Raw genomic sequence first — 19,363 nt, forward strand, 5'->3', positions numbered from 1 at the left:
CCTCAATTTTAGAGCTTGTTATTGGTCTATTCAGGGATTCAACTTCTTCCTGGTTTAGTCTTGGTAGGGTGTATGTGTCCAGGAATTTATCCATTTCTTCTAGATTTTCTAGTTTATTTGCGTAAAGGTGTTTATAGTATTCTCTGATGGTAGTTTGTATTTCTGTGGGGTCAGTGGTGATATCCCATTTATCATTTTTTATTGTGTCTACTTGATTCTTCTCTCTCTTATTAGTCTAGCTATTGGTCTATCTATTTTGTTAATTTTTTCAAAAAATCAGCTCCTGGATTCATTGATTTTTGGAGGTTTTTCATGTCTCTATCTCCTTCAATTCTTCTCTGATCTTAGTTATCTCTTGTCTTCTGCTACCTTTTGGATTAGTTTGTTCTTGCCTCTCTAACTCTTTTAATTGTGATGTTAGGGTGTCAATTTGAGATCTTTCTAGCTTTCTGATGTGGGCATTTAATGCTATAGATTTCCATCTTAACACTGTTTTAGCTATGTTCCAGAGATTCTGGTATGTTGTCTCTTTGTCATTGGTTTCAAAAAACTTTTTGATTTCTGCTTTAATTTCATTATTTACCCGGGAGTCATTCAGGAACAAGTTGTTCAATTTCCATGAAATTGTGTCGTTTTGAGTGAGTTTCTTAATCCTGAGTTCTAATTTGATTGCACTGTGGTCCAAGAAACTGTTACGATTTCAGTTCTTTTGCATTTGCTGAGGAGTATTTTATTTCAAAATATGTGTTCAATTTCAGGGTAAGTGCCATGTGGCACAGGAGAAGGACGTATATTCTGTTGATCTAGGGTAGAGAGTTCCGTAAATGTCTACTAGGTCCACGTGATCCAGAGCTGAGTTCAACTCCTAAATATCCTTTTTAATTTTTTCTCTCATTGATCTAATACTGAGAGTGGGGTGTTAAAGTCTCCCACTATTATTGTGTGGGAGTTTAAGTCTCTTTGCAGGTCTCTAAGAACTAGTTTTATGAATCTGGGTGTTTCTGTATTGGGTACATATATATTTAGAATAGTTAGCTCTTCTTGTTGAATTCTTCCCCTTACCATTGTATAATACCCTTGTCTTTTTGTATTTTTGTTTGTTTAAAGTCTGTTTTGTCAGGGACTAGGATTGCAACCCCTGCTTTCTTGTTTTTTTCTTTCCATTTGCTTGGTAAATTTTCCTCCATCCCTTTATTTTGAGGCTGTGTGTGTCTTTGCATTTAAGATGGGTCTCCTGAATACAGCACACAGATGGGTCTTGACTCCTTATTCAATTTGCCAGTCTGTGTCTTTTTTTTTTCTTTTTTTTGAGACAGAGTTTTGCTCTTGTTGCCCAGGCTGGAGTGCAATGGCATGATCTCGGCTCACCGCAACCTCCCAGGTTCAAGCAATTCTCCTACCTCAGCCTCTCAAGTAGCTGGGATTACAGGCATGTGCCACCATGCCCAACTAATTTTGTATTTTTAGTAGAGATGGGGTTTCTCCTTGTTGGTCAGGCTGGTCTTGAACTCCCAACCTCAGGTGATCCACCCATCTCAGCCTCCCAAAGTGTTGGGATTACAGGTGTTAGCCACCATGCCCGGCCCAGTCTGTCTTTTAAGTGGGGCATTTAGCCCATTTACATTAGTATTGTTATGTGTGAATTTGATTCTGTCAACATGATGCTATTTGGTTATTTTGCATAATAGTTGATGCAGTTTCTTCATGGTGTCATTGGTCTTTATATTTTGCTGTGTTTTTGCAGTACCTGGTACTGGTTTTTCCTTTCCATATTTAGTGCTTCTTTTAGGAGCTCTTGCAGGGCAGGACTGGTGGTAATGAAATCCCTCAGCATTTGCTTGTCTGGAAATGATTTCATTTCTCCTTTGCTTATGAAGCTCAGTTTGGCTAGATGTGAAATTCTGGGTTGAAAATTATTTAAGATATTAAATATTGGCCCCCAATCTTTTCTGGCTTGTAGAGTTTCTGCTGAGAGGTCCACTGTTAGTCTGATGGACTTCCCTTTGTAGGTGACCTGGCCTTTCTCTCTGGCTACCTTTAACAGTTTTTCCTTTTTTTGACCTTGGAGAAACTGATAATTATGTGTCTTGGGGTTGATCTTCTTACAGAGTATCTTAATGATGTTCTCTGTATTTCCTGAATTTTCATGTTGGCCTGTCTTGCTAGGTTGGGGAAGTTCTCCTGGATAATATTCTGAAGTGTGTTTTCCAGCTTGTTTCCATTCTCTCCATCTCCTTCTGGTACTCCAATCAATCGCAGATTCTGTCCTTTTATCAAGTCCCATACTTCTTGAAGACTTTGATCATTCTTTTTTCTCTATTCTTGTCTGCATGTCTTATTTCAGTAAGGTAGTTTTCAAACTCTGATAGCCTTTCTTCTGCTTGGTCAATTTGGCTGTTGATACTTGTGTATGCTTCGTGAAGTTCTCATGCTGTGTTTTTCAGCTCCATCAGGTCATTTATGTTTCTCTCTAAACTGGGTATTCTAGTTAGCAATTCCTTTTATCAAGTTTCTTAGCTTCGTTGCATTGGGTTAGAACAAGCTCCTTTAGCTCATCATAGTTTTTTATTATCCATCTTCTGAAGCCTACTTCTGTCAATCCGTCCATCTGATCCTCCCTCCAGTTCTGTGCCCTTGACATTGTAATCATTTGGAGATGAAGCACTCTGGCCTTTTGGGTTTACAGCATTTTTTCATTGATTCTTTCTTACCTTCCTCAATTTGTCTACTTTCAGTCTTTGAGCCTGCTGATCCTTGGATAGGGTTTTTTGTGGAGGCCTTTTTGTTGTTGTTGTTGTTGTTGATGCTGTTGTCACTTTCTGCTTGTTTTTCTTTCAATAATTGGTCCCTCTTCTGTAGGACTGCTGCAGTTTGCTAGGGGTTCACTTCAGGTCGTATTCATGTGATTCGCTCCAGTTCCTGGAGATGTCATTCAAGGAGTCTGGAGAGCAGTAAAGATGGGTGCCTGCTCCTTCTTCTGGGACCTCTGACCTCGACAGGCACCAACCTGATGCCAGTAGGATGACTCCTGTATAGGGTGTCTGACAACCCCTGTTGGAGGGTCTCACCCAATCGGGTGGCACAGGGAGCAGGACCCATTTAATGAAGCACTTTGTCCTTTGGTGGAGAGGGTATGTTTCACTAGGGGAAAACCCACTCATCTGAGCTGCCTGGATTTCTCAGAACTACCAAGAGGAGACAGCAAGTCTGCTGGTCCCCAGAGACTGTGGCCATCCCTCTCCCTAGGGACTCAGGCCCAGGGAGATCTGAATTCTGTCCCCGAGCCTCTAGCTGGAGTTATTGGAGATCCTGCAGGGAAGCCCCGCCCACTGAGGAATGATGGGTTGGGATTAGGCCTGAAGAGGCACTCTAGCCGCAGACTGCCACAGAGGGTGTGTTGGGCTGTGGGGACAAGTCTTGGGAGCAAGTCGTCCAGCCTCCCTGGCTCTAGCTCTAGCAGGGGAAAGTACAGCCTGGAGCTATAGAAATGGGTGTGCCCACCCTGCCCAGGGAGCTTAGTGTGTTAGGCAGTTGCAAGTCCCAGTGCTGACTCTTGCCCCTCCCCCCAGGAGCTCAAATGGCTTAGACAGCAGGCAGCCACAGCTGGTGCTGGTTGCCTCTTCTTCCCCCCTCCCCACCAGCAACCCCCACTTCCTGAGTTCCATAGGCTTAAGCAGACTCCAGCTGAGAGGCTGTAAGAATCTGCATGTTCCAAGGCTGGGACGCTAGGCCCTGGTGGCGTGGGTTCACGAGTGGGATCTTCCAATCCATGGGTGGCAGGGTTCTGTGGAAAAAGCAGTTTCCCTAGCGCACTCACTCACCACCGCCTCCTTTGGCTTGGGGAAGGGGCTTCCCCTTCCCCGTGTGGCTCTCAGGTGGGCCTTCTCACTACACTGCTCTTCCTTCTCTCTGTGGTCAGGCCAGCCTTCTTGTCAATTTTGGCGAGAGAACCTGAATACCTTGGTTGCTGATGAAGGATTCACATGCTTAGATTTTTTTTCCAGTGGGAGCCTCTGAACACGCAGCTTCCAGTCGGCCATCTTGGCCCCGCCTCCAAAAAAAATGGTCACTTTTTTTTTTAAATCACTAAATTGTGATTCACCCTCCTCAACTGCTCCAACCAAGTGTTGGGAGCTATGCTGCAGTCCAGTCTGAGCAAAGGGACAAACTTTTTTTTTTTTTTTTTTTTTTTTTTTTTTTTTTCAGAAAAAAAAGGTGTTGTGGTAAAGAAATGAAATTGATGGAAATCTAAAATTTTTTTCAATTTTCCTATTGAATTAGGTAATAAATACTTAGCCAAAGGTCTAAAATGTATTTCATTAGACAAACAGCATTAGATGTTAAGAGTGACAGAAATTAGTATGTTATTGTGTTTCCATGCTGTAGCTATTACAGTAGCATCACAGCATTTTTACAGCATTCACAAGCAATGCTAATACTTCTATACTTCTGGAAGATGAAATCTTATGATTACGTATATATTTGTTTAAAGCAGAATTTGTGAATACACCATTTAGTATAACATTGATTCATGAAGCCATCAAGTACATGAGAACTTGACTGATAACCAGTCCAATCTCTCTCAAAACACAGCAGATCTCATAGACAGTCATCTTTCCTCTACTTAAACAGCACCCTGATGAGCAGCTCAGGAAGCTTGCTCTTCCAAAACTGAATATCTCCAGTAATTACAAAATTCCTTCCTTCTTGCATGTGGGGCAAAATCTATTCCTATAATTTTAGTCCACTAGTTCTAATATACCCTCATATACTAGGTGGTGATTTGAACAAATCTCCTCTTCTCACAGAAGTCCTTTAAAGTATCTGAAAATAGTTCTCATGTTCTCCTGTCTTTTCTCATCTTGTATTTTTCAAAGAAGTAATTCCAAGTGCATTAAAGGCAGCTTTAAAGAACTGTTTAATATAAAAAAAAAAAAGGGTACACTAGGAAACACACACACAGTATGTATGATTTGGAAGGATACTACGAGTTATGCTTTGGAAGGAAATAAGAAAGCAGTTGAGAAATAGGAAGTCTATTTCAGATAAGGGGAGCTAACATGAGAAACTTTTATGCCAGGATTACAGTCTTTTGTGTATATGTGCTCTAACCTGGGAAAATAGATGTTCAGGTTTATTCTTCTTCACTAGCATATACACCTCAAACTGTTTTTCTAGTATTGTATTTATTTGCCTTGTGCCGTTCACATTTTTCATGCCCAATTCCATTTTGATCATGAATATATAAAATGTTAAGCTGAAAAAGGAAGAAATGTAGAGCCGTGAAAATGAGTATCAGTGGTGCATGTACTTACTGAACTCATAAGCACTGCTTCTTTAGCATCGTGGGTGAGGCAACCCTAGGAAAGATTAAAAGCATGCCAAGCGGAGCAACTATTCATATTCGTTACGGTCTCAAAGTAGATCTCACAGAACACTGAGCTATGTTTGTCATTATGTCATTATCCCACTCTAACATATTCCACAAATAAAACACAAGGGAAAGGCTGAGACCTGAAAGAATTTTTTTAATGGTCATCTTTTAAAATTGAGTGAGGAGGGGAAAATATATACATGAATTCTTTCATTATTTTAGAGGAAACTATCATCTGTTTGGTTTCATTGTTTATTTGGTGAAAGGATTATGCTCTCATGGCTTCTCTTTTCTTTTGTAACAGAGCCATATTCATTTTTTCAGTGTCCCCTCCAGTTTTTGTGCATACTCACACATATTTTATGTACTCGGATTCATAATGTTCATGATATGCCCAAACACTTTATGTATAAAGTTTTCTTTTTTGTATAATCTGTCATCTCTAACAGATACTGGGAGTGTTTGTAGCTGTCAGCTCTCAACTGAGTCTGACTCTAGGCATTGCCTTCAGCTGAAGAGAGCTGCCGGCTCAAGATCCACCTGCCTCCGCAAGGGAAGCTGCTTTCAAAGATAGTTCATTTGGAAAGTGGGGAGTCATAACAAAAAGATACCTCCTTCTTGCCCCAGTCAGGGGCAATTCTGAAGAGATCAGCTGAGACCTCTGTTGTGATGGCTTCTGCAAGAGCAATTCAATTTTTCCCTCTGCCCCATCTACTTTCTTTACATTCTCACAGGGAAACAGTCTGGTAAAACTCCTCAGCTGCAAACATGTACTTACTACCTTTCATGAGAATGACCCAAAAGGCAGAGCTGAGAACCACAAAGGATCATTCTCAGGCCTTGAAACCTAATGAAGTTTGCCTGGTGGGATCACTGATCCTGAGCACACTGCCCAGGAGCCTGTCTGAGTGCAAATCTCCATGTTGGAGTCTGTTTCCTGGGGAACTAGAGCTACAGCAACATCGCAAACATTTTCCCATGCTGTAGCATAATCTTTCCACATAGTTCTCATTTAAGTGGCTGCTTAAAATTCTTCTAAGCAGAGCTATCATATTTTAACTGACTCTTTCCTTATAGTTGGACTGTTGGTTGTTGCCAATATTTTGTCTTTTTATAGGAGCATTCAATAAACAGCACTAAGCTGTTATTTCATGTTTTTTCTTGTTTTGAATTTTTTTTTTAAATCTCAGGTATGGGCAATTACTAAGATAAAGATATGAAGGATTTCAGTCTATTGTTCTTAAGAATTTATATAGTACTATAAGCCATAAGTCCAAGTGTAAGATATATTACCAGGAACACTAAGGAATTAGAACAGATTATTTTCTGTATTGTTGTGTTTTTGATCCAAGACTCAGCACAGGATGCCTGAGAAGCCCAAAATAAAAGGAGAACAGAGTAGTCTGCTATTAATTTGTGCAGCACTCTACTGTACTTGGCTGAGTAAATCAGTACCTACACAATGCCAGCATCTAGAGAGCAATAAATATTTGTTGAATAGATATTTGAATGAATAAATGCATATTCAGGTTCCTTTACATTTTAATTTAAATTCAAGAGGGCTCATTAATGGGGAAATGTAGATAATGTAGAAAATACGGACTGGATACTGGTAAGCCTTTGGTTTTAAGTTCTTAAATCATCACCATTCCAAAGCAAAAATGATGGTGGTAACAGCGGTAGTGCACGTGAGTATGTTAAATCCTCTTTTCTACAGAAGCTAGCACAGAAGGGACTAAAAAGAAGAGTTAAGGAAGAACAAAGTAACAGCCAACACAAGCACCAAGTCAACTAGATAACAACAGACCAATTTTCTAATTATCTCACCAGGACACATACCACAATTTCATGGAAAGGAGTGCCAGAGATTAGACGATATTAGTGAAAATCCAAACCTTTAAATTTGGGGAACAGTGAGGAAGGAAGGATGCTAAGTGGAACAAAATTTATCTAGTGAGATGCACTGGCATATCCTGCAGACACAGCATAAGAACCATTCCCTGTGCTCATTTTTTATAATGCACCAACAAGAATCACATCTCAGATTAGACTAGTCTCTTCAATGCATTGTGAGCACACCTTGCTCATTCCAACTTGTGTCCTGCCACTCACCCTCCTGAAATGCCCAAAGGAGAGCAGCCCCCACTGCAGAGTCATAAACAAACAAAGGCACTCCACTTCTTAGAGAACGAAGGCAAGAAAAATATGTGACATAGGAATGTTAAAAACACAAGCAGAAGCAGGAAGAAAACAGCACCAGAGACTTAGTTTATTCTTATAAATAGCTTAATAGGTAGACTTAGGGCTGTCTGAGCTAAAAGAGATATAAAACAAAGATGTCTGAATGTGGATCTTTTATTTTTTCCCATAAACTTTTAAGATTCCCTCAACACTATTTAATTCCTAAGGAAAACAGAAGGTTATATGAAAGATCTTTCTCAATATTTGAAAGCAAACAAAAATGCATTATCCAAAAGGTCAACCGAATCTAGTACTTGGCAGGAAAAAGATATTACAAAGCTATAAGATCTTGAATTCACACATGATGAAAGATGCCACATTCCTTTCAAAATGCTTCTTAAGTGTGCTTCAAAAAAGAGTCACAATTAAAGAAGCAAGCTGACTTTTCTCTTCTCAGCACATTCCTAGCCTTGCCAGTATATTATTGCTATTTCCTTTCTAGCTTGCAGAAGAATGTCAAAGGTCTACATAGTTTGTTTTTTTTCTATCCCACTAACAGTGAATCAGTTGGCTTGGTGCCCTAGAAGTCAAATAGATATTTGAGAAATTTTTCAGCCTTGTGACTATGGTAACCTTGTTCTAAGTAGAAATCTCCCAATGTAGGCAATCTTCATTTTAAACAACTGGACTATAGACTTCAATTCTGCTGTCTGTAGAGCTGACTACTAACATCCCTGTTTCACTACTCAGAACTATCCAAACAAAGACTTAGACAAATAAGAATAAAGTTAAGTCCAATAAAGTTCCTATGTGGAGATACCAAGATTTACTCCATCCCACAAATCCCTCCTATTTTCCCAACATTTATACTAAGGTGAGAGCAGGAACAATGGTCAGTGAATACCACTGTTACTTGAATTTTTGCCTCCTATTAACAGGACTAGATTCATTCTATTATTTAGTTGAAAATTTTGTTCCCAAAGGATCAGGACTATGAGGTCCATGACAGCATGAAAATGTGTATATGGGGCTGGGTGTGGTGGCTCACGCCTGTAATCCCAGCACTTTGGGAGGCCAAGGCAGGTGGATCATGAGGTCAGGAGATCGAGACCATCCTGGCTAACATGGTGAAACCCCATCTCCACTTAAAAAAAAAAAAAATACAAATATTTTTGTGGTAGCATGTGCCTGTAGTCCCACCTACTTGGGAGGCTGAGGCAGGAGAATCGCTTAAACCCGGGAGGCAGAGGTTGCAGTGAGCTGAGATCATGCCACAGCACTCCAGCCTGGGCAACAGAGCAAGACTCCATCTCAAAAAAAAAAAAAAACTAGAAATGAAAGTCTGTATATGAGTGTGTGCAGGAATTGTGGGAGTAGGTGGGGGGAGTTAAATCACATAGACAGAATACCTGATTATGTCCTGCATATGTTTGCTTAAAATTTTTAATTTCAAATAAATTTGAAATGTGAGAATAATTTACATAAGCCTCAGTATTTTTATGCAACAATTAAAGTTTTAAGGAATTATATATATTTATATATATATATAAAATATATATACACATATATGTATAATCTGAAATGAACACCATTTTTGAAACTGATCTTTTGTCTATTCCAACAAAAAGGGAAATGAATATCCATCATGTGCTTATGCTCTGACCTGTTATTAATTTAAAAATATAGGCAGTGGTAATAATTTTGACCATGTACAGCTATATTATCTTCTAAACAGTTGACTTTACACGCCTATTAGTTCAGTAAACACTAAACACCAACTTAGTGTGATGTCCTGCTTTAAGTGAAGATCCTGTGTAACTAATTCTACACAATGCTATATGGAGATACAGAATGTACTGCTACTAAATATAGAAATACTTTGATAGCACATTGCAATATTATCTAATGACTGATGACAGGCCATGAAAAATGATGCATACTGGCTATTTAAAATGTCAGGGAAGCAATAAAAAAATCAGAGTCTACAGAGGAGAATATGTCAATGATTGATGAGGCTTCTGAATTCAAGGAAAGTATTTGGGAAGTCCAAAATTATCATAATAGTAAAGGGATGACAAGAAGAAAGCTACATGTCCGTGTATAGATGTCACTCAATATAGTACCATGAAAATCGGTACCTTAAGCAATAGAAGTAGTCAGCAGTTTTATTTTTACTTTTATTCTTTGAAAATGTGATTTTATTCTTGAGCAATATTTTTCTGTGTAGAAGAAAGAAATGAAATGTTCTGGAACATACAGGAACCAATCACCTATTCTGGTATCAATTGCCCTGCAATAGGAGATAAACAGAGTGGGACTACGTTCAGACACTATTCCAATTTCATCCTTAATCTCCATATCACCAAATCACGTTATAAGGGAGACAGAAAACAAAACTTAAGGAAAATAAACTCCACAGATAGACTCCAATCTGGACACTAATTATATAGAATTTGATGCATTCATAGGTGATACTAGGAATTTATAGCAGCATAAAAATACGCTGCAAACTCTTAAACTCACTTATGTTTGTTATTTTAGTTAGTTTTGTGGTGATGTCCGTTTGTTTTTAATTGGGGATACAACCCAATAAAAACAAAGTTCCTTTGGACTTATAATATATTTTAACTTTATTCAATCATTTTTGGAAATGTTTATTTTGATATAAGTTTAAACTTAGAGAAAAGTTGCAAGAATAGTATAAAAATTCTCATATTCATCTCGTTTCACCATTTGTGAACAATTTGTGCCATTTGCTTTCTTATTCTCTCTCATTCCCCCTTCTCTTTTGCTACACACACACATACACACGTATACACACACACACACCCACACATCATTTGAGAGTAGGTAGCAGACATTATGCCCCTTCATCCCTAATACTTCCTTGTATAAAAATGTACACTTTGACACAATACTATCTTCTAACCCACAATCTATATTCAAATTTTGCTCATTGTCCCAATGATATACCTTATAGTTGTATTATTTCCTAGTCCGAGATCCAGTACAGGATCATGCTTTGCATTTGTTTTTCTTGTGTCTTTAGTTTCCTTTCTTCAAGAATACTCCTCAGTCTTTATTTGTCTTTCAAACAATAATCCTTGGATAGCTACCCCTCCAGGGCCTCTGGCCTTCCTGCTGTGGTTACAAAGAGTTAAATAGGCCCCAAAGAGTTAAATGTAGGTACCTGACCACTAGGTACCTACATTCAAGTCAAAGAGAAAGACATGTAAACAATTAGGAAGCACATCATGAAGTGTGCATTAATAGAAGTATAAGCTGGGTTCCTCCTATTTTTATCAGCTCAAAACCCTTGCTCTCTAGATCTGTTTTTCTATCTCTCATTTGGAGTCAGAAAAATACTTTCATACCCAGAATAAATATTGTCAGTGCTCACTCTGGCAGCACAGACACAGAATAATCATTGGCAAAAGGTATTTATAAAATATTTTTGGCCAGGTGAGGTGCCTCATGCCTGTAATCCCAGCACTTTGGGAGGCCAAGGCGGGCGGATCATGAGGTCAGGAGATCGAGACCATCCTGGCTAACGCGGTGAAACCCCATCTCTACTAAAAATACGAAAAAATTAGCTGGGCGTGGTGGCGGGCACCTGTAGTCCCAGCTACTCGGGAGGCTGAGGTAGGAGAATGGCATGAACCCGGGAGGCAGAGCTTGCAGTGAGCCGAGATTGCACCACTGCACTGTAGCCTGGGCGACAGAGCAAGACTCCATCTCAAAAAAAGAAAAATATATATTTTTTAATTCAGGGAGTTGGCCAAAATAACATACAGTACCATGTAGCAGTATATACTAATACATAAACACAGGGTGTTGTTTTTTTTTTAGGAAACAGAGGTGGTTCTTTTAATGGAAGATGTGTCACAATTACCACTTATTTTTGGAAACAGAGAAAAATGCAACATGGTAAAAAGAGCGGTACTCCTTTCCTGTAGTTTAAAAAACTATATTCAAATATAGCTGCAAGCATTTGTTGGCTAAGCGATTTGGAGTAAAGTACTTACACTCTGGGTCTAATTCCTTCATCTGTAAAATGGAAATAATAATACCTAATTATAGACTTTAGCAAGGTACAAAATAGTATACATGAAAAATCCTTACAAATAGTAAAGCATATATAATTTATACATGTGTATACATACATATGTATACATGTATGTGTATGTATGTACTTATGTATATAGGCATATATGTGTATGTGTGTGTATATGGAGAAAAAGAAAACAACAGCAAGAGAAAGCTTAAGTATGCATTTGATTTGTGGATTTTACTTCCACTTCTCTTGGGATGGCTCTCTTCTAGTGGTCACACTCAAGCAGCTTTGCATTCTGTCCACTGAGTAGAAAAGTTTTATACCTCCTGCCATGTGGCCTTCCCATTAGCTTCTATGCTGACAGAGCCAGGACAGCAGAGACGACATCAGCCTTACTCACTCTCAAATCTTCATGGCCAGCACAGGCCTGGCACATGGAGGTATTCAAAACACACTGGTGGGATGATGAACACCACTCGGGACTTTGTCTAGCCCAAAATACAATGCTACAGCCTCACTGTCTCCTTTCATTCATCTTAAATAAATCCAGAGTAGCAAATGCTACTCAGACATCAGTGGAGAAACCAGAACTTTCATTAACCTCAACCTCCTCCATATTAAAGTGAAGGTTAAAAAAAAAAAAAAGTTCATTTCTGGAGCTCTAAATCCAGAAATATCAGTGAAACAGCACAAATACTACAGTCATATAGAAATCCTATGAGTTGCTTAAATGGATTTAAGAATATTATCGTTAACATATTATTTAAGCCCTTCACACTCTTTTACATTCCACTGGCTTATTTTTCTTCTCTTTTCTTTTTTGTTTTTTTGAGACAGAGTCTCACTCTGTTGCCAAGGCTGGAGTGCAGTGGCACCATGTCGGCTCACTACAACCTCTGCCTCCTGGGTTCAAGCAATTCTCCTGCCTCAGCCTCCTGAGTAGCTGGGATTACAGGTGCCCATACCAGGCCTGGCTAGTTTTTATATTTTTAGTAGAGATGGGGTTATCACCATGTTGGCCAGGCTGGACTCGAACTCCTGACCTCAGGTGATCCACCCACCTTGGCCTCCCAAAGTGCTGGGATTACAGGAATGAGCCACCGCGCCCGGCCCCATTGTCTTATTTTTCTTCACAGCATGCATCACTCTGAAGTTTTCGTATTTGTTACTTGTCTGTAGTTTTTTACTGCCTGGCTGCCCACTTGCTGTTTTCTCCCTGATGATCACCAGTACCTAGAACAGTACCCAAAAATACAAAATATTCAATAAATATTTGTATTGATGGAACAAAGTACTTAAAAACTATTCCTTTAATAGGGCAAATATTTCCTCCACAATATTATATACAGACGTCTGTGGATTAATCAATCTTTTCCTGCAGTTAATATAACAATATACTAGTCCAGCTGAAACCCTAGTGATCATTTAGAGCTCTGAATTAAAGAAATTGTATAAATTTGCAGTAAGTTAGAGTTGCTTGACTACTAAATTTGGCAACTGGAATATTAAGCTTAAAAATAGCACTAAAGCAAAAATGTACTGACAAATTAAGAGAAGTAAACACGTTTGGCAGATTTGAATTGTTGCTTTTTATTAAAATGTAAGATTGAGAATAAGAATAATGAAAATAGAAAGGTTATAGAAACAAACCAAAAAAAAGAGGTTAATGAAAAACAGTCTGAGGTACTAGAAGTGAATGAAGAGGTGAATGAAGTCTCATAAAATGGTGTGGGGAAGTACACAGAACCAGAAGACAGAGAATGAAAAGCAGAAAAATTATGGCAATTGGGTATTTTCAGTCAACGTTTTCCTGGGCACTAATCGCTCAGTGGAGTAACTCACAAGAGTCAGGATCATTTGTCACTGTTCTGCTTGTTCTCTGGCTGAAATCCCTTGATATCTTCTTCGCAAAGATCCTAAAATGACTCTGCTTTATGAAAGCTCACAGACAAGTATAAACTTCCCTTTCCTATTGCAGCAACAAATTCTATTGCCCACTTTATTTTCTCCCTAGGGTAACACTGTCCTCTCGGAATTAATAGGATTTCTGATCCTAACAATAGTAATAGTGGACAGGAAAGTGTTATCTAAAGCTCTCAAGTAAAAAAATCTAGCAGTAACCAGGCATTTTATGAAAACAATGCATGACCCACTATTTCTGACATTAGTTTGAACAAAACCCTATTGCATGTCATTGTGGAATTAATGACATGGGATGAATAAAGGGAGGGATTTATCTAGAACTAGGTATGCCCACTTATACATAAACAGGAGAAAATCAGAAAAAAATATGATATTCTAATTGGGTGATGCAAATGATGGCAGTCTAAGCCAGTAATCTAAGCCAGCAGTTATCAGCATGAAGGAGATTTGGCAAAGAGATACAGAAAAGGCAAAAGGGAGGCAGGAAGGAAGGAAGGAATGAAGGGAGGAAAGGAGGGAGGGAGGGAGGGAGGGAAGGAAGCAAGGAGGGAGGGAAGCAGGAAGGGAGGGAGGGAGGGATAAATACAGAACATCTAGCAAAAGATAAATACAGAGCATCTAGCAAGAGACATTAAGCATGTATCTGGAAGACAAAAAGCAATGAATGAAAGCAGAGCACCAGTTCCTGTGTGGGATTCAGAAATAGAACTAAAGTCCTGAAGAGAAGTAGGAATAAGTCAAAAGAATTGAGTGGAGTACAAGGCAACAACCCACTTTCAGAAATAAGACAGAAAGAAACACAGGATTTTAAAGTACCAACTAACAGTAGAGGTGACTTGGTATCAAATATCCTAAGAATTGACTACAGTTTCTTAAGCATCCTTGCCCAAGAGCAGGATTAGCCTTGGAGTTAAATTGTTAAAAGTCATGGGTGCATACTAAAATTATCTAGAGAATGTATTTTTAAAATACAAAGTTCTGGTCTCTGCCCTAGATATGATTAATCAAAATATCTGGGTATCATGTCTATAGGCCTCTTTTATTTCTTAATGTCTCTCGATGATCCTACTGTACAATCACTTGTGGAATGTAAGGTCCACTGATCTAGAGTCTAGCATAGACATAAGCATTTTTGGGATTAGGATTCAAATCAATAATGCAATCATATTTCCCTAGGAAGAATAAAAGCATAAATGTATAAATATCAAAATTAAAATTGATATTTTCAGAGTTGGTTTTTCCTCTTTTACTTATCTGGCTCTGGACAATGTTCAATCCTGACCATTATGTAGGAGTCAGGAATTACTTCAGTATCCTTGCTTATGAAAATCACATGCGTTTCTTGTTTAGTTGACTTCTATATATGCTCTACCAGTTTATTTTCATGCCTGTTACCAACACTGGAGGTTCTCCCTCCATTCCATCAATGAGTCATGTCTTCTGTGGGGACCTACACTGGTTCTTCTAACTGCCCTTTTCTACCTGGGAAATGAAGCCTAGTCCTCACATCCCATACCATTCCCTACCACCCAACAATCTCTCTACCCAACCTGATCCTATCTACAACTTCTTTCTTCATACTAGAAAACTTACCATTTCTCAAGGTTAAGATCAGACTTTGTGGAAATATAGGAAAAAACCACAACAGACCAGGAATTGGAAGTTTGGTCTCAAACTTATTAGATTTGAAAAGATGTCACTTTAGGTACTACTATGAGTAACAGAAATGGGAAAAGAGCACTCCAAAACACCTATAAAAATCACCCATGATACATAAGAGTCCATAGCTACCCTGATGGAAAATTTAACATATGGAAATCTTTAACTGAGCAGACTCAAAGAAAATAAGAGATTAATATTTTTGCTTTTGAAAAATGGGACTAACAGTGGGATCATAAGGGGAATTTACCATATATAAAATGTCTTAATTTAAGTAACATCTTTATTGTGACACATAAAACTCTACTCATCAGATTAATTTAAATAAATTACAATAGAAATGCTGTCAAAAGTACTTAAAATTGACTGAAGAACCGAACTCAAGACTAGTAAGAACAACAACTCATCTAGCATAGAACCCAGGATGTTTGAATTTAACTCTAATCTTACTTAAATTTTCACTAACTGTCAGAAGAATTAAACAGAATGCTATTAAAATTTGTAGTTGAGTCAGAGTTATGCATCAAAGAACAATGAAAGCAGAGAGATAACACAATGGACAAAAACATCAGCCTCATGAATGGGAAATAATTCATTTACTTAACAAAAGTCTTCTAACACAAAAGAAAAGGGTTGGGGGAGAAAGGAAGGTGGTATGCTCACTTGAGCTAAAAGATTCAAAGAAATAAAGACAAAAAAAAACAGTATTTCAAAAAGCAAATGTGACAAGTCACTATAAATCTGCTCCATGAGATGGCAACAAAATAAGCTATGAGTTTGACATATGAAGTGATTACAGGCCCACAATCATGTTTCTCACATAGTAAGGGAAGAATAATCTTCCTTCTAACTCAGAGAAAAAGCAATAATAACAATTACTGTTTGGTAACAGAAGCAGTTGAGGGGTCAATAAGTAATGTAGCAGGCTCTACCATCACAGCCTCATAGTTCAAACACTGCCCTCCCCAGAGGCTAATGGTGTGACCCCATGCAAGCAGCCTGACCTAGCTGTGCTTCCATTTCTTCTGCTCCAAGTCAGAGCTAAGTGTTTTTGTTTTGTTCTGTTTTGTTTTATCCAACTAAGGAGTTTTGCAGATTTTAAATGGCAGTAATACTATCTTTGAGAAAACAAAAATAGAAGAGTTTCTAAGAAATTTGAGAATTTTGTTATGAGAATGTATTGAGTAAAGGAGCTTTAGTTAAGTGAGTTTGACTCACTGGCTGTTGATAGTGTTGAAAGGAATCTTAACTCAGGCAAGCTGGGGGTTAGGAGAGCATAACGATATTAACAAAGACCATTTGTGGACATCTTATATTTCAACACCTTCAACAAATGGGACCCTGTTGGTTATATCACCTCAAAGTTACACTGAAATTCCTAAAATATTTCATTTCCCAGTGAATAAATGCTGAATAACTTCATTCCAGGAACTTATTGTTACTAAGCAAAAGAGAAAGAGTCTACCTATTACAGTAGTATCATGGGCAATCATTGCTATCACTAATAAATTTTTAAGCAGTTTCTAAATTCAGTCATAATATCAGGAAAAGTATTTAGAATGACAAAACCAGAAAACAAAATTCTTAATTATAATTGGTATATGCAGAAATTATAAAGAGATAACAGGTGCTGCTTTTGTTTATTAAAACTTCAAGGAGGAAGGCACATGTATTAGAATGGCTAAAATCTAAAAAATGGAAAATACCAATTTCTGGAAAGGATGAAGAGCAATAGGAAGTCTCATTCATTGCTTTTGGAAAGGCAAATGGCTCAGCCACTTTGTAAGACACTTTGACAGTTTCTTACAAGGTTAAACATAGTCCAACAATTGCACTCCTAAGTATTTACCTAACTGATTTGAAAATGTAGTCTACATAAAAACTTGCAAGTGAATGTTTTATAGCAGTTAATTCATAATAACCAAACATGTAAGGAACCAAGGTATCCTTCAATTAATGAATGGATAAGCAAACTGTGGTACATGTTAAATGGAATATTTTTCAGGGGGGTGGGGGGAAAGGAATGAGCTCTCTGCCAAAGACATGGATTAATCTTAAATTCACATTTCTAAACAAAAGGAGCCAGTGAAAAGGCTATATACTATATGATTACATTTATATGACACTCTGGTGAAGGCAAAACTATAGCATGGCAAACAGATCGGTACTTGCCAGGGATTTGGAGGTGACATGCGGTTGAACAAGTGAAACACGGGATTTTTTTTAGAAGAGTGCAAGTATTTGGTATGATGTTATAATGGCAGTTATATGACATTATGCATTTTTCAATACCCATAGAACTTTACAGCAGAAGAGCTAAACTTACTGTATACAAATTTAAATGTGTGTGTGTGTGTGTGTGTGTGTTTAGGAGGTCAAAGTATCACAGGATGGAAGACTATAATAAAAGAATCTAGCTGTATTACAAATATATGAAAAAAATCTTACTGGAAGTGGTGGGGTAGAAAGGTGCTTACCTAAGTAACCCTGGATATGAGTGGACACTATAAAGCTTTATACATAACTACATACTCCCAAACTGCCCATAGGCACTGTATTTTAGTTGATAAAATTGTTTCCCCTGGGAGTTTCTGTTAACAATTCTGAAACAACTATAAACGTACACTGGAATTGAAGAATTCAGTAAATGGATGGCTAAAGGGAGTCAGGTTTCTCCTTGTTAGAAAGAAGGATATAGACAAGCAAGAGGGAAAGGTTAGAATGATCCATATGGTAATGGAGTAAAGTTGGAGACATCAGTATTAACTCATATTTAGCATATGATGAATACATATAAAAATGTTTATAGATGGGCATATATATATGAGTTAGTCTACACACATATATTCTCTTGCTCTGTCAGCTGAGAGGGCGTAGAAGCAAAACACCCCAATAGCAATGAGTACAACCAATGCCCAGGTCATGGTTTCCAATACCATTCTCCAATAAAAGGTATCAGGGCTCCTGAGAGAAATGGCTCATTCTAGACAACTGGGGCAGAAAGTATGAAAGATGAGTCTGGAACATCTTATAGTGCTGGGAAGTAAGGAAGTGCTCAAAACACACTATGAACACACAGACACACACAATATGGGCATATGTCAGGCCAATGATGGGCATATTGCCACATACCAAAGCAAACAGGAAACAAACAAAAGATCTGACCAGTACACTTGAAAACTGTCAAGGTCATCAAAAACAACATAAGTCTGAGAAATTGTCATAGATAAGAGAAGCTATGGAGATAAGTCAACTAAATGTAATGTGAAATGAAATCCTGGAACAGGAAAAGGTTAAAAACTAAGGATATTGAAATAAAGCATGGAATTTTGTTAATAATAACCTATCAATATTGTTTTATAAATTGGGACCAAAGTACCATATTAATGTATGATGTCAAATGGGGAAAATGGGTGTGGGATATATCATAACTTTCTGTGCTATCTTCACAGCTTTTTTATAAACCTAAAACTACATTAAAACTTCATTTAAAAAAAACTTAAAGGGAAACGAAAAATAAACACCAACCTACTGAAGAGTTCAGAAAAGAGAACAAAAGACAACCTGAAGAATTTAGGAATCTGAAGGGTTGTTCTCCCTTCACACAAAGAAGAGGTGCTAGACAGAAAGCTGCTAGTGATAGCGAAACAATGCTTTAGAGACACAGAAACACAAATTTAAAATTAAGAAAAAGGACTGCCATGTTCTTCCAGCAAAAAAGAAAAGCTATGTCTGGAGAAATTTAGCAGGACAAATGGGAAATAGTCTGTCACAAGATTCAGAAGAAGATGTTCCTAAAAGAGAAAAAATATCTAGGAGAAGAGGGAAACTATGCCACATTCCACTCAATATCCAATAACCAAAAATGGAAAGAATCAAGGTATCCTTCAATCAATGAATGGATAAGCAAACTGTGGTACATGTTAAATGGAATATTTTTCAGGGCAGTTGTGGGAAAGGAATGAGCTCTCTGTGAAAGACATGGATTAGTCTTAAATTCACACTTCTAAACAAAAGAAGCCAGCGAAAAGGCTACATACTCAATATCCTTGTAACTTATAAAACTGACTTGTATAACTTAAGGATATGTTTGTATTATAGTGTTTATCCTTTACATATAGGAAGCAGTGTCCATATACAATGGTCTCATTCTTTCTCAGGACTATCTACTG

At 37.9% G+C, this 19,363-nt stretch overlaps 1 protein-coding gene across 2 annotated transcripts in view, besides 1 other annotated feature; it reads right to left on the reverse strand.

Moving 5' to 3' along the window:
• Window positions 1–19,363, reverse strand: part of GUCY1A2 (guanylate cyclase 1 soluble subunit alpha 2) — a 344,458-nt gene that overhangs the window by 279,668 nt on the left and 45,427 nt on the right. The gene's annotated exons all lie outside the window — the stretch shown is intronic.
• Window positions 3,451–4,055: an enhancer, noted in NCBI's record as "H3K27ac-H3K4me1 hESC enhancer chr11:106827863-106828467 (GRCh37/hg19 assembly coordinates)". NCBI's record gives its function as "activates a minimal SCP1, AML or CMV promoter by ChIP-STARR-seq in naive and primed H9 embryonic stem cells {active_cell/tissue: H9 hESC(naive and primed)}" and the evidence as "EXISTENCE:reporter gene assay evidence [ECO:0000049][PMID:30033119]".

Source organism: Homo sapiens, chromosome 11, assembly GCF_000001405.40.
Source record: "Homo sapiens chromosome 11, GRCh38.p14 Primary Assembly".
Classification (NCBI taxonomy): Eukaryota; Metazoa; Chordata; class Mammalia; order Primates; family Hominidae; genus Homo; species Homo sapiens.